The 17,556-nt window shown below is 43.1% G+C and overlaps 1 protein-coding gene and 1 pseudogene across 1 annotated transcript in view; one reads left to right on the top strand and one right to left on the bottom strand.

Annotated features, from left to right (window-relative positions):
* Positions 1 to 17,556, bottom strand: part of LEPROTL1 (leptin receptor overlapping transcript like 1) — a 42,941-nt gene that overhangs the window by 8,149 nt on the left and 17,236 nt on the right. The window lies entirely within an intron of this gene.
* RPS15AP24 (ribosomal protein S15a pseudogene 24) lies at positions 12,391 to 12,860 on the top strand (annotated as a pseudogene).

Raw genomic sequence — 17,556 nt, 5'->3', positions numbered from 1 at the left:
TATCCCACCATACAAAACACTGTACAGGTATCTCAGCTTGTTGAGTATTCCAAACCAATCCTTCTCATCATTTTCAAAATGTAAAATTGCAAATAAGCTTTTTGATATGGTTTGGGTCTCATGTTGAATTGTAATCCCCAGTGTCGGAAGAGGGGCCTGGTGGGAGGCGATTAAATCATGGGGGTGGATTTCCCCCTTGCTGTTCTCATAATAGTGAGTGAGCTTTCACATGATCTGGTTGTTTATAAAAGTGCGTAACGCCTTCCCGCTCTTTCTCTTCCTCCTGCTCCAGCCATGTAAAACGTGCCTCCTGCCTCTTCACCTTCCGCCACGATTTTAAGTTTCCTGAAACCTCCCCAGCCATGCTTCCTGTATAGCCTGTAAAACTGTGAGCCAATTAAACCTCTTTTCTTTATTAATTACCCAGTCTCAGGTAGTTCTTTGTGTGTGTGTGTGTGTGTGTGTGTGTGTGTGTGTGTGTGTGTGTGACAGGGTCTCACTCTGTCACCCAGGCTGGAGTGCAGTGGTGTGCAGTGGTGTGATCTCAGCTCATTGCAACCTCTGCCTCCTAGGTTCAAGCGATTCTCCTGCCTCACCCTTCCAAGTAGCTGGGACTACGGGCACATGCCACCACACCCAGCTAATTTTTGTATTTTTAGCAGAGACGGGGTTTCACCGTGTTGGCCAGGCTAGTCTTGAACTCCTGACCTCAAGTGATCCATCCACCTTGGCCTCCTGAAGTGCTGGGATCACAGGTGTGAGTCAACGCTCCCGGCCTCAGGTAGTTCTTTATAGCACTACGAGAACAGACTAATACACTTTTAATCGTTAAAACTTCGCAAAGATAATACTAAGTTAGAAGTTATAGATAACTTAGAAAGTTATAGGTCAATATCACTGATTAACATGAAGGCAAACAACGAGCCCAATCTTAGCACTCAGAACATAACACAGTGAGGGTCTTGATGAACAGAGATGGCAAGGATTTGTAGTGGCCTTGGTGGGGTGCAGTGGCTCACGCCTGTAATCTCAGCACTTTGGGAGGCTGAAGCAGGAGGAGCTCTTGATCCCTCGAGTTTGAGACCAGCCTGGGCAACATAGGGAGATGCCATCTCTATTAAAAAACACACACACAAACCCAAAACTTGTAGTGCCTTAACCAGAAGGGTTCTATACTTTCTCTCACCATACTCAGTAGCTCAGAGGAGACAAAGTAGATAAATGGGGTTTCCCAGAGTTGGGAATAGTCAAAGAGACTCTGTCTCAAAAAATAGTTTCAGACTCTGTCTCAAAAAAAAAAAAAGAAAAACAGAGTGCTTTTTATAGGGGCACTTCTGGGGAGCTGTCTAGGGGTGTGTGCAGTTGATGAAAATCCTTCGAGAGGTACACTTTAGATGTGTGCAAGTTTCCATATATATGTTACACTTCAGTATTTTTTTTTTTTTTTTGAAACAGGGCCTGGCTCTGTCACCCAGGCTGGAGTGCAGTGGCATGATCTCGGCTCACTGCAACCTCTGCCTCCTGGGCTCAAGGAATCCTCCCACCTCAGCCTCCCAAGTAGCTGGGACTACAGGAACGCACAACTATGTCCGGCTAATTTTTTTTATTTTTTGTACAGACAGGGTTTTGCCATGTTGCCCAGGCTGGTCTCGAATTCGTGAGCTCAAGCGATCCAACCTCCTTGGCCTTCCAAAATGCTGAGATTATAGCCGTGAGCCACTGTGTCCAGCCCCGTAATTTTTTTAAGTGACTACTCTTCATGATGAGGGAAATGCTCATGAAGGAATGTTAAATTTAAAAAAGAACTTGGTTAACAAAGCCTTTTAAAATGCAATCTGGCCTCCAAATCTATCTCCCCACTGATGGCCAGGGGTAATTTCTACTCCTCTGATTGGTTAAACCAGGACGTCTGCTTCCTTCTTTTTCTATTTGCATTCTGTAGAGAATGATTCATTTCTCTGGACAGTAGTAGAAAGAACATTTCTCTGGACAGTAGAAAGTGATTTGTGGGAATTGATCTAAGGAAAGAAGTCGGAGCCAGAGATGTAGACTGGAGCCATCTGTCTGCCCAGAGGACAGCCCGGATCCAAGATGGGCAGAAACAGAGAGGAGGTGTCTCCTTCCAGTTCTGATTTTTTTGTTAGATCTTAACTCATTCACTTCCCAACTCCTGCCCCCGCTGCTCCCTCCCATTTGGCAACAGTTTCCCTATCCTTCATTACCCACTCTATTACTTCCAAGACTCTGCCCATTGCTCCTGAATTCCCTTTGCTACATGACTGGTAGTACCTGGTTATTGACACCCCACCCGCTCTTTTTAAAAAATTCAATCACTAACCTTCTGGAATATCCTCTCATTAATGTTCTCTGACCTCACTTCCAGATCTGGATTTGATGTTTTCCTTCTCTTGCTTGATCTAGAAGTAACCCTCAGGTTACCCCTGCTTTTTGTCTTGTTCTGGCCCATTTATTGGCCCAAGCAGAATACATATACGTGTGTGTGTGTGTGTGTGTATTTTTTTTTTTTTTTTGAGACAGGGTCTCACTCTGTCACCTAGGCTGGCATGCAGTGGCACAATCATAGCTCACTTCAGCATTGAACTCCTGGGCTCAAGCGATCCTCCCACGTCTGCCTCCCAAGTATAGAATAGTATTTTGATGAATCGTGCCTATCCTTACAAATGCAAGGATGGGGCCAGCTGTCTCTGTCTTGCAGGCAGTAGCCTTGGACAAGTGAACTCAATTCTGTGGACCAAGTACTAGAGCTCAGTAACCCATGGAAACAGCGCCCATTGGGCACACACCTCCTGACCTCTGGCCTCCCACTTTCATCAGCCGAATCACTCTGAGAGGTCTGGCAGCTCTTTCAGGTCCCCAGGGGATCTCATTCATTTGTTTGAAAATAGTGTCTGAGAGTTTGGTGATTAAGAAATCCCTAAGAGGAGGGTAAGCTAAGCCATGAAAACCATCAAGCTCAGGATGCTGGCAAAGGTTAATAAGAAAATGTTTAGCAGAAAGCTATAGCATTAGCCTTTCTAAGAGCAGCAAGAAACTATAGCCTTCATTATTTATAGATTGAAATGGCATCATCACCTAGGAAGTGTCATGAGAACTCAGGTCATCTGTCAGCATATTATTTTGTATTTTCTTTTTTTTTTTTCAGACACAGTCTCACTCTGTCACCCAGGCTGGAGTGCAGTGGTGCCATGTTGGCTCACTGCAACCTCCGCCTCCTGGGTTCAAGCGATTCTCATGCCTCAGATTCCAAAGTAGCTCGGATTACAGGCGTGTGCCACCATATCCAGCTAATTTTTTTGTATTTTTAGTACAGATGGGGATTTGCCATGATGGCCAGGATGGTCTTGAACTTCTGGCCTCAAGTGATCCTCCCGCCTCAGCCTCCCATAGTGCTGGTCTGGCCTGTCAACATATTATTCTGAATATACTACCCTCATAGTGCAGCCCCATCCTTCTGAATCATAGCAGCTACTAAGCTGGGCTGGCCTCCTTCTTAATCTGTAGACAGTTGTCATGATCAACAGGCAGCCAGTGGCTTTAATGTATGTCCCAGGTTTAGCAATCCACTCAAGTAGTTAAACTTTTCCATAGGAGACAATCCAACCTTGGCCTTTTTCTATCTATGTAGTTTCATAAAGCAAACCACAGGAAGGCTTCACTGATACACATTCAGTCTGTTGATTCATCTATACTGGATTCATCAATTCCATGAGGACTTGGAAAAGGAGGTTGGTATGGTTTGAACGTGTCTCCTAAAGTTCAAATGTTAGAAACTTAATCCCCCGTGCAGCAGTGTTGGGAGATGGGGCCTAATGGAAGGTACAGTCATGTGTCACTTAATATGGGGACACATTCTGAAAGATGCATTGTTAGGCTATTTTGTCATTGTATGAACATCATAGAGTGGCCTTACACAAAGCTGGATGGTCTAGCCTACTACATACCTAGGCTATACGGTATAATCTAGGGGTCTCTGACTCCCAGTGCTGATCCACAGCCTGTTAGGAACTGAGCCACACAACAGGAGGTGAGTGGCAGGCAAGATTATAGATAGATTATGGGCATTGCAATGACCAATTGCAATCATTAGTAATTATCCTGATTAGAATGCCAACTATTAGATAGTACATTCAAATCACTTACAACAGATTCTTCACAGATTTATAACATAGGAGATGGTTCAGGAAACTTGATTCTCCATAGTCTAAGAGTTCAGTACTAACAGGTGAAGGGATAGTGATTATATTTTATGTGAGCTTTTTCCAAATGTCTAAATGCATCTATTTCCGAAACATTTCAAAGGAAATTATAGAGTAAAATGGCCGTGACTACTTTAGCATTTTCTTCCTGATAATGGCTGATTCGGATGTTAGCAAAGCCATCTCATGGGGAAGCAGTCTGAACCCCTCTCCTGGAGGCAGGAGTTCTGGCCCTGTCCCAGTTCTAGCACAGGCCAACTGTGGGACCCAAGCAATTCCATCTGGGCCCCAAGTTTCCTAGTACGCCATAACAGGATGTGGATAAAATATTCCTTTTAGAGTATTTAATTTTAAAACTGAAGGCATTATGATTGTATAAGTGTTCTATTAATTTTTCAACACATTAAGCAGAAAAAGTAAGGCATCCATCTCCCAATCTGCCTCTATTCATCCAACAAGAATTTTATAGAAAGCAATGGAAGAAAATCTGCTGAGTGCTCAAGGTTCTTTATAAACACCCGGCATTTCCTATTATATTCCTTCCATTTGTTTTCTATTGTATAAAAAGAACAAAGTGATATTTTTGTGGCTCATCAAAAAACTGAGAGTTGACAATAGTTCTCTCCTACTAAGAAAACACTGTTAACTTCTCTGACTCTTTCTTTTCTGAATCGTAGGTTTAATTTCTTAGCCTTTATTTGGCAGCTCATAACAGTCAGATACTTATTAATCTGTTCTGGCTCGTTTCCAGGGACAATCATAACAACAGCTAGAGATGCCAGATTATTTCTAAGGAAGTATTTTTGTCTTACTTGGTTCTTGCTGCACCTTTTTCTTCAGAAACACCTTTTAAGTTACAACAAGTGAGATAATTATGTACGTATGTTTTCCTTGCAGGGAATTTGTGCAGTTCATAAGATTCAAGTGATACTTTGGTTTAGTTTCATGGCCAATCTGGATATGTTACATCGAGTGCCTTAAGTGGATTCATTAGCCTGAGGACATGTGAGGTGATGTTTTCTAGCATTCTCAATTTACTAAAGGAATGCTTTCCACAACTTTGCTTCTAAATTGTTTGTTTAGAGGTTAGATGACATTTCCCTGTAGAAAGAACATTATGTTAACTCCTAATGGATGACACTCATGGTAATGACCTGAATTCAAGGGAACATGTTGTTTAGGATTGAAGAGAAGAGCAAAGGTAATTTCCTCCCTATTTCTTAAATATGCAGCTGACCCTAAGTACATTTTATTTTTATACTTTTTTCTGTTTATATAGTTATTTACATAACTATATAATAAACTACATTTATGAACTATATATGGACTTTGTTTAGATCTTGATTCAAATGAACCGACTTTGAAAGAATATTATAGGGAAATTTAAACACTAATTGGATAGTAAAGCTTTATTGTTAACTTTTTCAGGTGTAATAATCATACTGTGGTTTTTCTTAAGAATAAGGAAGGGTCACATTTTAGAGATATTCACAGATTAAATGATATTTAATCTTGGATTGCTTTAAAATAATCTGAGTTAGAGAGAATGGAGAATACATGGACGAAACAGAACAGCCATGTGTTCAGAATTGTTGAAACTGGTTGATTGGGAGTTCAATATATTCTATTTTTTATAGGTTTGAAAATTTATATGAAAACAAGTGTGCAAGAGACTACTGGGTAGATAAGGAAGAAGGAAGTCAGATACAGGAATTTCCATTCCCCAATTCCTAATGAAAAGATCAAAAACTGCAAAAAATCATTGTGGCCCCAGTGACCCATCCCCTCTTCTGGCATTTTCTTCATCCCACATTGAATCAAGGTTGGTCTGTGTGATGAATATTACATGACAGAAGTGATGGTATGTCACCTCTGAGATTAGGTTATAAAAGACAGTTAGTATAAGACTAACAATCTCACCAACTTTGTGTTTTGGTAGTTTCTTCTTCACTGCACTCCAGGTACAATGGCCTTGCTATCTTCTGGAAAAAAAAAAAAAAAGCCTATTCCTCCCTTTGAGCCTTTGAAATTGCTTGTCCTTCTATCCAGAATGTTCTTACCCAGGTCTCTGTGGATAGAGATGCTGCTCCTTTACATCATTCATGTCTCTGTTCAAATGACATCTTGCCAGAGAGGAACACCTTGTCTAAAATAAATCCCATTCCCATGCCATCATTCCCATCTCCTCACTCTGCTCTATTTGGTTCATTTACTTTTCATTGATTGAAATTATGTTATTTATTGTTTGACTAAATGAATAAATGATAGGTCTGGATAGAGCTTCCTAAGCAGGAATAAGTATAGACATGGGAACCATGCAAACATACTTCATACTTGAGGTTTGTATGTGTGTATATGTATGTGTGTGTGAGTGAGAGAGAGACGGAGCGAAACAGAGGAATGCTAGTATGACATGAGAAAACCTGACATATTTAGGAATAAATGTAGTAAAATGACTGCAAGACTTGTACTTGGAAAACTATGAAACACTGCTGAGAGATGTTGCAAACCTCAATAAATTGAGAGATATATCATGTTCATTGATTGAAATACTCAATATTGTTGTGGCAGATTGCATTTTCCAAAGATGGACACCATAATATATTCCCTCCCATATGCTTTTCTTACAATGTAACATTAACACTCTTCCCATTGAATGGTCTACGGTCATTCCCCTTGAACCTGGGGGGACATTTACACAACTGGGTTGACCACTAGAGTATGGCAGAAGTGATGCTTCGTGACTTCTAAGGTAGGTCATAAAATATCCATACACTTCTGACTGGTTTTCTTGGGATGATTCACACTCTTGGAATGGATGTAAGAAAGCCACATTGCCATGGAGAGGCAGAGTTTTATATGGAGAGGAGCAGAGACCCCTGGCCTTCATACTAGCTGAGCTCCCATTTAGACATCCAGCACCAATTGCCAGCTATGTAAGTGAACCATCTTGGGAGATGATCCACCAACCCCCAGCTGACACCATGTGGAGCAGACAAACACGTACTGTTAAGACAGGACCAAATTACAGATTTGTGAGCTGAACCAATGATTATTGGTTTAAGTCAATAGGTTTTGGGTGGTTTGCTATGCTGCAATAGGTAACTGTTACAATTGTTAAGATTCATTCTCCCCAAATTGATCTATAGCTTCAATGCAATCCCAATTAAACTCCCAAAAGTTTTTTTGGGAGAGAGTCTTGCATTGTTGCCCATGCTGCAGTGCAGTGGCGCGATCTCAGCTCACTGCAACCTCCACCTCCTAGGTTCAAGGGATTCTCCTGCCGCAGTCTCCCGAGTAGCTGGGATTACAGGCATGCACCACCACACCTGGCTAAATTTTTTTTGTATTTTAAGTAGAGACGGAGTTTCACCATGTTGGCCAGGCTGGTTTTGAACTCCTGACTTCAAGTGATCCACCTGCCTTGGCCTCCCAAAGTGTTGGGATTACAGGCGTGAGCCACCATGCCTGGCCCTCCCAAAAGTTTCTAAAAATAGAAATTGACAAACTAACTCTAAAGTTTATATGAAAATACTAGACTGGGTGAAGTGGTACAGGCCAATAATCCCAGTACTTTGGGAGGCTGAGGTGGGAGGATTGCTTGAGGACAGGAGTTTGAGACTAGCCTGGTCAACATAGTGACACCCTGACTCTACATAAAAATTTTGAGTGATTTTTGAATATAGAGTGAAGTAGGGGTCCAATTTCATTCCTTTGCATGTGGATATCTAGTTATCCCAGCAGAATCATCTGGAAGAGGTGATTCTTTCCACATTGAATTACCTTGACACCTAAAGTTAATTTTTTTTTTTTTTTGAGAGGGAGTCTCGCTCTGTTGCCCAGGCTGGAGTGCAGTGGCATGATCTCGGCTCACTGAAACCTCGGCCTCCCGGGTTCAAGCGATTCTCCTGCCTCAGCCTCTTGAGTAGCTGGGATTACAGGCGCGTGCCACCACGTACAGCTAATTTTTTGTATTTTTAGTAGAGATGGGGTTTTACCATGTTGGCCAGGCTGGTCTCGAACTCCTGACTTCAAGTGATTTGCCCACCTTGGCCTCCCAAAGTGCTAGGATTACAGGGGTGAGCCACTGTGCCAGCCTAATTTTTTTTTAAAGATAAAAAGAAAACAAAAAAGAAATCACTGGAATGCTTAGGGGAGCAGAAGGTAAGGAGCTCTCCACCAGCTTTCCTGTTAGACCCCACACCCCTAATCCAGAGGCCAGGACATTTCTACTGCCATCCAGAGGCCAAGAAACCACTGCCAGAATCACACATCCCTGCATTGGGTAAAAAGCAGTGCAATAGAGTCTTGTCAGCCCCAGAAAAAACACACCAAAGCCCACATACCACTGCTGGCAGAGGAAGGATGTCTTTTGCTTTCCTTCAGGTTTCCAAGTCATCTCATGAGTTTATTTTATTAACAATATCTAGGCTGGGCGTGATGGCTCACACCTGTAATCCCAGCACCTTGGGAGGCTGAGGTGGGCGGATCACTTGAGCTCAGGAGTTGGAGACCAGCCTGGCCAACATGGCGAAAACCCATCTCGACTGAAAATACAAAAAATTAGCCTGGCGTGGTGGCGGGTGCCTGTAATCCCAGCTACTTGGGAGGCTGAGGCAGGAGAATCACTTGAACCCAGGAGGCCAAGGTTGTGGTGAACCAAGATGGAGCCACGGCACTCCAGCCTGGGCGACAGAGTGAGAGTCCATCTCAAAAAAAACAAAAACAAAAACAAAAACAAAAACAAAACCCCAAAAACAATAAACAACAAAACACACAAAACACAATATGTAGATGAAACACAGAACCCTGGAGGTAAGAGAATCGAGTAAATGTAGTTTCAAGGCTCCTGAGATAAAAGGGGATGGGAATCAGTAAACAATATACAGCTTATCAACCAGTCCCAGAAGAACAAACGCTATATGATTCCATAGGAGGTACCTAGAGGAGTCAGACTTACAGAAACAGAGTAGAATGGTGGCTGCCAGGGGCTGGGAGCAGGGGGAATGGGAGTAGAGTTTGTCATGCGAGATGAAAAAGTTCTAGAGATCTGCTGTATAGAATTATGCGGGTATATAACAATACTGAAGTGTACACTTAATAATTTAAGATGGTATTTCAGCCAATCCTGTTTGAAAAGAAAAACAAAACAGTTGGGTGTGGTGGCTCATGCCTGTAATCCCAGCACTTTGGGAGGCTAAGGCTGGTGGATCACTTGAGCCCAGGAGTTCAAGACCAGCCTGGGTAACATGGCAAAACTTCATCTCTAAAAAGAAATACGAAAATTAGCCAGGCATGGTGGCTCATGACTGTAGTCCCAGCTACATGGGAGGCTGAGACAGGAGGATTGCTCAAGCCGGAGAGGCGAAGGTTGCAGTGAACTGAGATTGCACCACTGCACTCCAGCCTGGGTGACAGAGAAAGAACCCATCTCAGAAACAAAATTAAACAAAGATGGTAGATTTCATGTTATGTATTTTGTTACCAGAGTTAAAAAAATATATACATATATATATATGCATATACAAATACATACAACTTATTAAGCGACCATTTACATTTTGCCCTCTTTATATTTTACAACTAAAAGAGTATCATGTAACATCTTATGCACATGCAGTCTTATGATAGTTCTTATTCTTCTATTTCTCCCCAAATGGCTGGGGGAGATCTGGATCCATGCTGTTCTTTTATGTTTGTTATGGAGGAAGCAACTGTTAACAGATTTTCCAACTCAGAATCTGCTTCAAAGGGATGAGCTATTTGGACCCTTTTCAGAAACTTGCTTGGGGCAAAACTCATTAGTAATAATGACAATCAATTATAATTTTATTATTTTATTTGAGGTAGTTTAATGTGCAGCCTTAAAAACATACATTTATTTATTTATTTATTTATTTATTTATTTATTTATTTATTGATGGAGTCTCACTCTGTTGCCCAGTCTGGAGTGCAGTGGCATCTCGGCTCACTGCAACCTCTGCCTCCCAGGTTCAAGTGATTCTCCTGCCTCAGCCTCCCTAGTAGCTGGGATTACAAGCATACGCCACCACGCTCTGCTAGTTTTTGTATTTTTAGCAGAGACGGCATTTTGCCATGTTGGCCAGGCTGGTCCTGAACTCCTGTCCTGAAGTGATCCACCTACCTCGGCCTCCCAAAGTGCTGGGATTATAGACATGAGCCGCCAGGCCCAACTTAAAAGCATTTTTATAAAAAAATCACGAAAAAACTCTCCATATTTTAAAAATACCTAGTTAATATTTTCGTATATAGATGTTATGGGCTGAGTAGTATTCCCCTAAAATTCATATCCTAACCCCCAGTACCTCAGAATGTGACTATATTTGGAGAAAGGGCTTTAAAGATGTAATTAAGGTTAAACGAGGTCATTAGCATGGGCCCTCATCCAATATGACTGGCATCCCTCTAAAATCAGACAATTAGGACACAGACACAGAATAGAAATTGACAAGTGAATTGTAAAGTTTATATAAAAAAACTAGATACGGTGCAGTGGCAGCTCACGCCTATAATCCTAACACTTCTGTGTGAGGACACAGGGAGAATGGGCCATCTGCAAGCCAATGAGGGAGACTGTAGGGAAAAGAAAGAGAGATCAGACTGTTACTGTGTCTACGTAGAAAGGGAAGACATAAGAAACTCCATTTTGACCTGTACCCTGAACAACTGCTTTGCCCTGAGATGCTGTTAATCTGTAACTTTGCCCCAACCTTGAGCTCACAAAAACACATGTTGCATGGAATCATGGTTTAAGGGATCTAGGGCTGTGCAGGATGTGCATTGTTAAAAAAATGTTTACAGGCAGTATGCTTGGTAAAAGTCATCACCATTCTCCAGTCTCGATAAACCAGGGGCACAATGCACTGCGGAAAGCCTAAGGGACCTCTGCCCTGGAAAGCTGGGTATTGTCCAAGGTTTCTCCCCATGTGATAGTCTGAAATATGGCCTCGGGGGATGGGAAAGACCTGACCATCCCCCAGCCCGACACCCATGAATGGTCTGTGCTGAGGAGGATTAGTAAAAGAGGAAGGGAGGCGAGACATGTTGGCAGCAATGCTGCTTTGTTATTCTTTATTGAGATGTTTGGGTGGAGAGAAGCATAAATCCGGCCTACGTGCACATCCAGGCATAGTACCTTCCCTTGAACTTATTTGTGACACAGATTCCTTTGCTCACATGTTTTCTTGCTGACCTTCTCCCCACTATCACCCTGCTCTCCTGACACATTCCTCTTGCCGAGATAGTGAAAATAGTTATAAATACTGAGGGAACTCAGAAACCGGTGCCGGTGCAGGTCCTCCATATGCTGAGCGCCAGTCTCCTGGGCCCACTGTTCTAACTCTATACTTTGTCTCTGTGTCTTAATTTCTTTTCTCAGTCTCTTGTCCCACCTGACGAGATATACCTACCGGTGTGGAGGGGCAGGCCACTCCTTCAGGAGATCTCAGAAAAAACTGAACCTGTTGACACCTTACTGTTGGACTTTCAGCCTCCAACAGTGAGAAAATAAATGTCTGTTGTTTAAACTACGCAGTCTGTGGTACTTTATTATTGCAGCCCTGGCAAATTAATATAATAACCTTCTAGCTTTTTCCACATGTACACATGTATCTGTATGTACATATATTAATATATTTGTGTTTTTCTGGCCAGGCATGGTGGCTCACACCTGTAATCCCAGCACTTTGGGAGGCCAAGACAGTTGGATCACTTGAGGTCAGGAATTCGAGACCAGCCTGGCCAACCCAGTCTCTACTAAAAATACAAAAATTAGCCAGGTGTGGTGGCGGGTGCCTGTAATCCCAGCTACTTAGGAATGTGAGGCAGGAGAATCCCTTGAACCCAGGAGGCAGAGGTTGCAGTGAGCCAAGATTCTGCCACTGCTCTGCAGCCTGGAAGACAGAGCGAGACTCTGTCTCAAAAAAAAAAAAAAAAAAAAAAACAAATCAAAAAATATATATACAGATTTTTTTCCCAAACAGTAGATTCATACTAATTTCTATTTTATAGCCTGCTTTTTAAACTTTATGTCTATAAGCATTTTTCTACAATGTAATTTTAAATAACCACCTAATACAGTCACAGTTGATTTAATCAATCTTCTGCTAACTTTCAGATTTTAAAAATTTTTTATAGAAACAGGGTCTCACTGCTCCTCCTGCCATCTTTCTGCGCCGCCACAATGGTGCGCATGAATGTCCTGGCTGATGCTCTCAAGAGCATCAACAATGCCGAAAAGAGAGGCAAACGCCAGCCAGGTGCTTATTAGGCCGTGCTCCAAAGTCATCGTCTGGTTTCTCACTGTGATGATGAAGCATGGTTACATTGGCGAATTTGAAATCATTGATGATCACAGAGCTGGGAAAATTGTTGTGAACCTCACAGACAGGCTAAACAAGTGTGGAGTGATCAGCCCCAGATTTGATGTGCAACTCAAAGATCTGGAAAAATGGCAGAAAATCTGTTTCCATCCCTTCAGTTTGGTTTCATTGTACTGACAACCTCAGCTGGCATCATGGACCATGAAGAAGCAAGATGAAAACACACAGGAGGGAAAATCCTGGGATTCTTTTTCTAGGGATGTAATGCAGCATATATTTACAAACAAAATGCCTCACAGACAATTAAAAAAAAAAAAAAGAAACAGGGTCTCACTATTTTGTCCAGGCTGGTCTGAAACTCTTGGCCTCAAGTGATCCTCCTGCCTCCACCTCCCAAAGCACTGGGATTACAGGCCTGAGCCACCACACCTGGCCTTAAGATCATTTTGATTTTTCATTACCATAATTAGTAAAGCGATGATCATCTTCTGTCTCTGACTAATTCCCTAGGATTACAATACAAGGAGTTAGTAGGTCAAACAGTATGCATATTTTGAAGGTGTAAAGGGGAAAAAAAAACATTTTTTTCCTCTACTCACACATCTCTCAATACTTCTGATCACCAAATGTATGGTTTTTTTTCTCCCCCATACTGACCAATTCTCCAGCACTAGCTGGGTGTCCTATAATTCAATTCATGTCTAATACTGACTACCTGGAGTTAGTATCAGATCCCACAGGGTGAGGGCCCAGTCCCACAAGATTGTCCCTCCCTTCAGATGCAATCACAAGTAGTAGGTCCCTAGAGAACCCACGATGTCTGTCTGACTTGGCTACAAATCAGAGGTTCCAACCCCCTTCTTGGGTTTGACCATTTGCTACAGTAGCTTATAGAACACAGGAAAGTGCTTTACTTTATTACCTGTTTACCCTAAGGGATACAACTCAGGAACAGAAGGACATTTATCACGTAAGACAGGGGTCCCCAACCCCCGAGCCCCACAACCCCCAGGCCAGGGGCCAGTATCAGTCCATGGCCTATTAGGAACTGGGCAGCAGAGCAGGAGGTAAGCAGCTGGTGAGCGAGCATTACTACCTGAGCTCCACCTCCTGTTAGGTTAGTGGTGGCATTACACTCTCACAGGATCACAAGCTCTATTGTGAATTGCACATGCGAGGGATCTAGGTTGCGCGCTCCTTATGAGAATCTAATGCCTGATGATCTGAGGTGGAACGGTTTCATCCCAAAACCATCCCCCGCCTCCCTGTCCATGGAAAAACTGTCTTCCACAAAACCAGTCCCTGATGCCAACAAGATTGGGGACTGCTGACCTAACAAACTGCAAAGATGTTATGAGCTGTGTGCCAGGAAATGAGGGTAGCAACCAATTTTTTTTTTTTAAGACAGGGTCTCACTCTGTCACCCAGGCTGGAACACAGTGGCATGATCACAGCTCACTGCAGCCTCTACCTCAAGGCTTAGGTGATTCTGCCACCTCAGCTTCCTAGGTAGCTGGGACCACAGGCATGTGCCACCATACCTGGCTAATTATTTATATTTATGTAGAGACAGGGTTTTGCCATGTTGCCCAGGCTGGTCTCAAACTCCTGGGCTCAAGCAATCCGCCCAGCTTGGCCTCCCAATATATTTCTTATTATATCACAACATTACAGAAGGCTTTTAATATTTACTACCAAATTACATTTTAGAAGGTTGAGACCAACTACTTACACTTCCACCTAAAATCTATGAGAGTGATCATTTTCATATGTACTACCTGGGTATTATAATTTCTTAGGAACACTGGGTATTAAAATTTTTATAGATCTTTGCCAAATTTGTGGGTAATATAAAGTATCATATTGATGTTTAAATTTCATTTATTGGATTACTAATGAGAATAATGCCCCTTCCCACATTCTTTATTTGCCACTTACAGGTTTTTATTCAGAAATTGCCTGTTTATATATTTTGCTATTTCTCTCTTGGGCCTTTTGTCTTTTCCTTATCTATTTGTGAGGTTTTAAAGCATTCTCCTAAGCCTGGGCATCATGGTGAAACCCCGTCTCTACAAAAAAAAAAAAAAAAAAAAAAAAAAAATTAGCCAGGCATGGTGGTGCGTGCCTGTAGTCCCAGCTACTTGGGAGGCTGAGGTAGGAGGATCACCTAAGCCCAGGGAGATCAAGGGTGCAGGATTAGATGAAGGTATGCATTTTTGGTAAGAATGTGGTGTGCTTTTCAGTACATCATATCTGGGGGTACATGATATAGATTTTTTTTTTTAAGATGGGGTCTGGCTCTGCTGCCCAGGCTGGAGTGCAGTGGTGAAATCTTGGCTCACTGCAATCTCTGCCTCCTGGGCTTAAGTGATCCTCCCACCTCAGCCTCTGGAGTAGATGGGACCACAGCGGCACCACATCCGGCTAATTTTTGTATTTTTATAGAGATGAGGCTTATCATATTGCGCAGGCTGATCTTGAACTACTGCTCTCCAGGGATCCACCCGCCTCTGCCTCCGAAAGTGCTGGGAATACTGGCATGAGCCACCACTCCTGGGCCACAGTATTTATATCAGAAAAAAGTCAAATACTGTACATGAGTTTCAGGAGCAGGAGAGAAATAAGGGAAAAGTTGTATAAAGAAGGGCGGTCAACTGTCTTGCTGGCGTTCACATTCCCCCATGTCTTGAGATCAGGTGTGGCTGTGTGACTTGCTCCGGCAATGAAAGGGGAGTAGAGGAGGTGCGTGTGACCCCCAGGCAGATCTAACAGCCACCATGGAGGCCTCCATGCTTGTTCCCAAGTCTGCTAAAAGACGGACAATGCTACTGATAGCCCAGGTTCCTGAGACAATATTCCAGTAGAATCACAGCCAATCTGTGATACATTGAGTGAGAAATAAACCTTTGTTGTTAGCCCTGAGATATGGGAGTCGTTCGCTGCTGAAGCATAACTGAGCCCATCTGGACTCCCATCAGAGTTTTCCAACTCGAATAAATGTCCACAATGGGCCATGCAGGGTTCTAGGTGGGTAACCAAAATGTCATGTAAGCTGGGCGCAGTGGCTCACGCCTGCAATCCCAACACTTTGGGAGGCTGAGGCAGGCAGATGACTTCAGGTCAGGAGTTCAAGACCAGCCTGGCCAACATGGTAAAACCCTGTCTCTACTAAAAATACAAAAATGAGTTGAGTGTGCTGGTGGGCGCCTGTAATCCCAGCTACTCGGGAGGCTGAGGCAGGTGAATTGCTTAAGCCAGGGAGGTGGAGGCTGCAGTGAGCCAGGATCACATCACTGTATTCCAGCCTGGGTGACAGAGCCAGACTCCATCTCAAAAAAATAAAACAAAACAAAACAAAACAAAAAAATATCATGTAAGATGTGTCATTCTGAGCATAACTTTTCCTTACCTTCCTATCCAAGCAGATGGCAGGTTCTGGGTTCATTGTCTCAGGACGAGTGTTAAAGGAAGGAGAATACATTGTTGAATAAGGTTTATCCATATTAAGATTATACTATGTGTCTTTGAATCAAATCCATCTTTGTGATAAAACAGAGAGCCTCTGAGGAAAACCAAAATGTTTTCCCTAGGGTTCAGTCCTGGGGCAGCCTAATTGGATTTGGGTGCAAAAAATGTAAAATGTTCTCTAACTTTAACCCTCATCAGCCTGACTTTGTACAACAGTTGCTAGGGTCTCCCTAGGCCGGTGGGTGGCTCCAATACTTAAAACTGTAAAAACGGAGCTTCGGTGTATTCCATTGTTTCCTCAGTGGTGAGTTCTCTGAATTTGTTTTCTTCCTGCACTGTTGGGTGATCCTCTTTGCATGGAGACCCCCTGGCTGGACGGCCAGCCATGACTGCTTGAGGGTCTCACTAAACGGAGAGGCACAGTGTTTTCCCAGCATTACGGATGAAAACGATGTGCTGCTGAGCAGAGGGCCCGGTGGCTGCTCTTCCAGACTTGGTATTCTTATCCTCGCTACTGCAGGAAACATGTTCTCTCCGGCCCATAATGGAGGGTGAGATGGAGACCTGTGTGTACGTGGAGATGCGTAGTCATCTGCCGGCTTGGCTGCTCCCCTGCCACACCCCAAGTCCTCCCTCTGCAAGTTGCCTCAGTAAGCCCCCTCCTGCTCCTGGATTCCACCACTTGCAGCGATGACAGGCTCTTTGGCAGGGGTCCCAACTTTTATGGTAGTATTCTCCCACGCTTGCTAGCAGCATTTTAGGCTGCAGTTTCCCTCTTCAATACGATCCCGTATGTTTTCGTTTTCTCAGAAATTTCTTAGTTTCAGATCCACCAAGGCTTCCCCTTCTTGTTTTAACTTTGCCCATGTATTTCTCTGTTCTTTGTTTGTTTTGTTTTTGTGACAGTCTTGCTCTGTTTTGCAGGCTGGAATGCAGTGGTGCAATCTCGGCTTACTGCAACCTCTGCCTCCCAGGTTCAAGCGATTCTCCTGCCGCAGCTTCCGGAGTAGCTGGGATTACAGTCATGAGCCACCACACCCGGCTAATTTTTTTTTTTTTTTTTTTGGAGAGACGGGGTTTCACCATATTGGCCAGGCTGTCTCAAACTCCTGACCTCAAGTGATCCGCCAGCCTCAGCCTCCCAAAGTACTGGGATTACAGGGGTGAGCCACTCTGCACCTGGCCAAAAAGGGTATCATTTCTAAGATTCGGTGCAGGAGTAGGGGTAGGGAGGATCAATATGCTTAGTCCAGTAGATCGTTAAAATGTGTTTTTAAAAAGTTTGCCCTCTTAAAAGAGGAAACTGCTTAGCAATACAGGCAATTGGTAAGAAACAGTGAAAGCAACAGCGAACATCTAACATTCACTATCTATGTGAGCTCTCTGTGGGTTACATTTAAATCTCACCACTTTATGAGGTAGATACTATTAGTATCTTCACTTTATAGATGTGGAAATGGGACACGGGTTAAATAACTCGGCTAAGGTTACACCACTAGCATCAAGAAGAGCTAGAAGTTGGGTGGTCT

This window comes from Homo sapiens, chromosome 8, assembly GCF_000001405.40.
Source record: "Homo sapiens chromosome 8, GRCh38.p14 Primary Assembly".
Classification (NCBI taxonomy): domain Eukaryota; kingdom Metazoa; phylum Chordata; class Mammalia; order Primates; family Hominidae; genus Homo; species Homo sapiens.
Note: the sequence above shows the minus strand (reverse complement) of the source record. Positions and strands in the feature narration are given on the sequence as shown.